Here is a 6,000-nt window from a genome sequence, read left to right as displayed (position 1 = left end):
GCAAGTTTTCCTTTTGCACCATAAAAATGGATAAATCTGCCACTCATAAAAGCCTTATTTACTGCTAAGGGTTCATTATATATGCATGAAAAACCAACTAATTTAACTGCCTGGCAACAACTTCCTGCCAGAGGCTGGATTCAGGATTGGAATTCAGGTTTAGGTTGGGGGCAGCCAAGGTGAGCTTGAGAGGGCTGGCACAGGTGGCAAGGGACTGTAGGTACAAGGCTGGCTCCCAATCCTGGCCTGGCGTGGCTAGCAGTGTGATGCTGGGCTCATGTAGGCTCTCAGCCTCAGTTTCTCACCTGTAAAATGGGGATAACCATACCTCAAGCCTAAAATTACTGTGGCAATTAATACCATATTTCATCAAACTAAAGCCCCTGACCACTAACTGTAAGATGTACTTTTAGTTTCTGCATCACTAAGAAAGAAAAAAATGCTGCTATGTAAACTAGAGTTCATACCTTTTATCACTTAGAATTTTTATTTTATGCTTGTTGAAAGAGCTCTTTAAAATTCATTTAGACATAGATTCTATCATATATCAGGCATTCGCATACATTAAAAGGGAAATATAAGCAAAATAAATTGATGGAAGGATTCCTAAACCTTTTCCACATTCAGAATTCAATTTCTCTGAATCACTTTTTGACTCAGTGGTCGATGCCTGCACTTTTCTGCGTCATCTTGTCCTTAGTGCCACCAAGGGTGTTCACGGTGCAGTTATTCTTAGAAATGTTCTCCATTCCTAGCCGAATCTCTCTCTTTTTTTTTTTTTTTTTTTGTCCCCCAAGCTCCCTATTCTGCAAATTTTGCTGCTGGAATTTTTGGAATTTACCAGGAGGTGTTGATAGAAGGTTTGCAGAGGGCACCCAGGACTTGTGTTCCTTCAATGATCTGTAAGTCGTTTGCTGGTGCAAATGTGGGAGCTGCCCTTATTCACAGGGAATCCCCACCGGGCTTGAGCATGCATGGCAATGACAACTGTGCCATGGTGCCCACCTGGCCTGGCTCCCAGAGACTACCAGATGCACCCGCATTTCAGAGATGTTGACATGGGGAGAGAAGGTATATCTAGAATGAATCAAATGTGACAGATTAAAATGCTTGCCAGTGGCTGGGCACGGTGGCTCATGCCTGTAATCCCAGCACTTTGGGAGACCAAAGCAGGTGGATTCCGTGAGGCCAGGAGTTCGAAACCAGGCTGGCCAACATGGTGAAACCCCGTCTATACTAAAAACACAAAAAATCAGCTGAGAGTGGTGGCGAACGCCTGTAATCCCAGCTATTCGGGAGGCTAAAGCAGGAGACTTGTTTGAACACAGGAGGCGGGGGTTGCAGTGAGCTGAGATCACGTCACTGTACTCCAGCCTGGGCGACGGAGCAAGATTCCATCTCAAAAAAAAAAAAAATTATATATATATATATATATATGCTTGTGGGTGAGTCTGGCACATAGGAATGGAGAGGAAATTAACATTTCTTGCATGACCTGTGTACCAGGCTGTATTAGTTTGCTTGGGCTGCCATAACAAAGCACCACAGCCTGGAGGGCTTAAACAACAGAAATGTATTGTCTCACAGTTTTGGTGGCTGGAAGTCTGAGATCAAGCTGTAGGCGGATCTGGTTTCTTCCGAGGCTTCTCTTGTCCTGTAGATAGTTACCTCTTGCTCTCTCCTCACATGGTCTTCCCTCTGTGCTTGCCTGTGTCCAAATCTCCTCTTCCCATAAGGACACCCATCATACTGGATTAGAGCTCACCCTAATGGCCTTATTTTAACTGAATCACCTCTTTAAAGACCCTCAGTTCCAAGTATAATCACATTTTGAGGTACTGGAGGGTAGGACGTCAATATAGGAATTTGGGGGGGGGGACATGGTTCCACCTATGATATAGGGCCAGGGTGGGTGCTCTGCAAACAGGATCTCCATTTGGCTACACAGTGACTGCATTGGGCAGGTGGTTTTGTCTTTACTAATGAAGAAACTAGGGCCCCAATAAGTTATCTGTCAAATGTCACACAGCTGGGATGGGGAAGAGCTGAATTTCAAGTCCAGGAGAAGCTGTGCTGTAGGCCTGCCTGCTAATTCTCATGCCAAACTGCTTTCTGGAACCTGAGGGATGTGGGGCATGGTCCTTCCTGCCCTACCCCTAGCTTCGGAGTTAGAGAAGGGGAGGGCAGAGGCCTGAGATCCTGCTCACTCCTCCCTCTCCACATCCTACATTAATCAGAGTTCTTCCAATATCTTATTAAACTTCCTTGTAAACTTTTATTTCAAGAAAGGGTGGCTGAACAGAAAAGTTTGAATGTGGCTGTATTGCATGGTATATTAACTTCCTAAGGCAGCTGACAACACGGGTGGCTTAAAACATTATTCTCTCATAGTTCCAGAGTCTAGAAGTCTGAAATCACTGTGTCTGCAGGGCCACATCCCGTCTCTGAAGTCTCGAGGGGAGGATGCTTCCTTGCTTCTTCCTGACTTCTGGGGGTGGCCCTCAATTCTTGGCCTTCCTTGGCTCATAGATGGTGTCACTTCAGTCCCTCTCCATCATCACATAATGTTCTCCGTGTGTGTGTGTGTGTGTGTGTGTGTGTGTTTTCATCTCTTCTCATAAAAGCACCAGTCATCATAGTGAATTTAGGGCCTACCTTAATCCAGTATGACCTCACTTTAACTAATTACATATGCAAAGACTCTATTTCCAAATAAGGTAGCATTCACAGGGAACTGGGGTTAGGACTTCAACGTATCTTTTAGGGGGACACAATTCAAACAACACCACATGGCATAGCTAAAGGTAAGGAAGGACACTGGTCAGGGAGCGAGGTGATGTGCACAGACGGGGGACTTCCAGGCAGAGCCCTGAGATGACAGAGAAAAGCTGAGAGTGGCCACAGGAGTCAGGGATGATGGTGGGTCAAGGGATGAAGTGGGCTGACTTTGCTTCTAGGGGACGTGTAGAACCTGCTGTCTGGTGAGATGGCTGGGTCTGAGCTGCCTCTCCCTGTCTGGCCCATTCCTCTGCACCACTCACTCGCTCTTAATCCCCTTAAGCCCAGCATATGATACAAGGGAGGCCAGGTCCAGGACAGTTGGTAAACATCAGGACCACCCTCTTGCTTTTCTCCTTAATGAGGAGGCCCAAGTCTTTGAAGCCAGTGGGAGGCCTGCTTTGAATCTAAGGTATCCCAGAGTTTAATTCTTTTGTAATCCTTTGTTGAGGGGTGGGGGGCAGCTTCCAAAAATACCTTGGCCTTAAGCAGTTTTCATTATGGATGCTAGTTGCTCAAACCTTCACTAATTCAGGTTAACCTGATCCCAGCAGAGTTTTTCTTTTTTTTTTCCTAGCATCCTCTGATGTCAGGCCAAACAAATATTCACATTGAGGATGTAAGTCCCACATTTCTCCCGGCATTATATCAGAACGGCCCTGGGAGCGTATTAATAACCTGGAGTCATGGAACAAATGGTTATTTATATGTGTAGGTGATGGCTAAAGTACACCCTCCAGTAATTATTCACAATTAACAAGCACTTCAGTAAATGAACAAAATCTGTTCTTCATCCATTGAGGTAGCAATTCTTTATCCAGAACTCGTGTATCTGCAACTTCTGGTTAACCAGCCCTCCCACACAGCTCCAGAACAAAGCTAATTAGAGATTATAATCATGACCTTCAGGCTCCTTCATGAGCCTGAAGGGTACCTGAGTCATCAATAAAATATAATGTGTTCAGTAGAGTTTCAGTTGACAAGTATAATGGAGTTGAAAATTGGTGATCTATATATACTTGTTAACTCTCTGTTAACTAGACATGTGTTGGCAGCTCTTGTGGAGTGAGCTCTTCTCATCTGCTAGAACTTTCCAGATATTTTCTCATTTAATCTTCTTAGCTCTGCTCTATGTGGTGGGCTTTAGGTGGGGAACTGGGGCTCTCATCTCTTGCTTGTTGAGTCTTAGTTGCTGTCCTTGACTCAGGTCCCTGTGATAATGCAGTTTATAGAGAGTCGGGAATGCCTGGACTAGGAGAAACCTCCAGGGGATCCAGTTTGATCCTTTCATTGTACGTGAGGTGTCTGAGGCCAGAGAGGCTGAGTGATGTGCTCAGGTTTGCACAGAGCTCCTGCCTCCTAGCTCTGAGTTCTCTCTATTACATCACAGCATATTCAACATAATTCAGCTGCTATCTTGATTATCCCCAGGAGTAGGGAGATTGATTTTATGGCCCAAAACAGGCCCAAAAAACAGAGCCTGTCTTTTTTTTCTTTTGGTTATTTAGTTTTTATTTCATAATCATAAACTTAACTCTTCAACACAGCTAGGCATGGAAGGGAACAAGGAAAACATGGAATCCAAAGGGAACTGCAGCAAGAGCACAAAGATTCTAGGATACTGCGAGCAAATGGGGTGGAAGGGTGCTCTCCTGAGCTACGGAAGGAATAGTCTGGTGGTTAAGATAAAATGGAAGTCAAACTTATCGAAGTTGTCTGCAGTCAGCAATGATTATCTTCTTGCTGGTCTTGCCATTCCTGGACCCAGAGTACTCCATGGCCTCCACAATCTTCATGCCTTCTTTCACCTTGCCGAAGACCACATGCTTGCCATCCAACCACTCAGTCTTGGCAGTGCAGATGAAAAACTGGGAATCGTTTGTGTTGGGTCCAGCATTTGTCATGGACAAGATGCCAGGACCTGTATGCTTTAGGATGAAGTTCTTATCATCAAATTTCTCCCTGCAGATGGGCTTGCCACCAGTGCCAATTTGGCGTGTGAAGTCACCACCCTGGCACATAAACCCTGGAATAATTCTGTGAAAGCAGGAACCCTTATAACCAAATCCTTTCTCTCCAGTGCTCAGAGCATGAAAATTTTCTGCCGTCTTTGGAATCTTGTTTGCAAACAGCTCAAAGGAGACACAGCCCAAGGACTCGGTGTTGATAGCAATGTCGAAGGACACAGTGGGGTTGACCATGGCTGATAGTACAGGACTCCTGGTGGCAGCAGCGTTTTAAAAGCTTTTTTTTTATTATTTTTATTTTTAAGAGAGGGTCTTGCTCTGTTGTCAGGGCTGGAGTGCAGTGGCACAATCATGGCTCACTGCATCCTTGACTGGCAGGGCTCAAATGATCCTCCCACTTCAGCCTTCCGAGTAGCTGCTACTGCAGGTGCATACCACCCTATGCATGCTAATTTTTGTATTTTTTTGTAGAGATGGGGTTTCACCAGGTTGTCCAGGCTGCTTTTGAACTCCTGGGCTCAGGTGTTCCTCCCACCTTGGCCTCCCAAAGTGCTGAGATTATAGGCTTGAGTCACCACACCTGGCCTCTTTTTTTTTTTTTTTTCCTTTTTAATGTCAAAGAGCAGTCTGTTAAATTAGCTATGACCTTATGCATTAACTATATGAGTGTTACAAAGTGTTGGCTGAGTCTGGATCCTTGAGGATAAATGTGAGCGGCATGAAATATATGCCCAGTGTGGATTTGGTGCATTTCCATCATGCTCATCTTCCCTCACTCCCGACATTGAACCCATTAGCAGTCCTGCCAGGGCAGCTTTAAAAATGTGTCAAAGATTTGACTGCTTCTGACCATTCCGCGTTTCCTGCCTTGGTCCTGGCCACTGTCTTCTCTCACCTGGATGACCTCTGGGGCCTCCTTACTGGAATCCCTGCTTCTGTGTTTCTCATCACACTTAGACTACACTACACGCTCCTTACCAGGGCCTCAAGGCCTTACATGGCTTGCGCTCTGCCCACCACTCTGCACTCCCTCACACTGTTCCAACCACCCCAGCCTTACCATGCCTCAAACCTGCCAAACTCGTTTCTGCCACAGGACCTTTGCACAGGCTATTTTCTCTACCTGGAATGCTCTTTGCTCAGATGGTTTCTTGGCTCACTCTTCCATTTTATTCAGGTCTTTGCTCAAATATCACCCCTCCAGAGAGGCTTTCCCAATCAATCTCCATGTCTAAGATAACACCCTCTTCCTTTC

The 6,000-nt window shown here is 45.5% G+C and overlaps 1 pseudogene; it reads right to left on the bottom strand.

Annotated features, from left to right (window-relative positions):
- PPIAP21 (peptidylprolyl isomerase A pseudogene 21) lies at positions 4,278–5,006 on the bottom strand (annotated as a pseudogene).

Source organism: Homo sapiens, chromosome 20 (assembly GCF_000001405.40).
Source record: "Homo sapiens chromosome 20, GRCh38.p14 Primary Assembly".
Lineage (NCBI taxonomy): Eukaryota > Metazoa > Chordata > Mammalia > Primates > Hominidae > Homo > Homo sapiens.
Note: the sequence above shows the minus strand (reverse complement) of the source record. Positions and strands in the feature narration are given on the sequence as shown.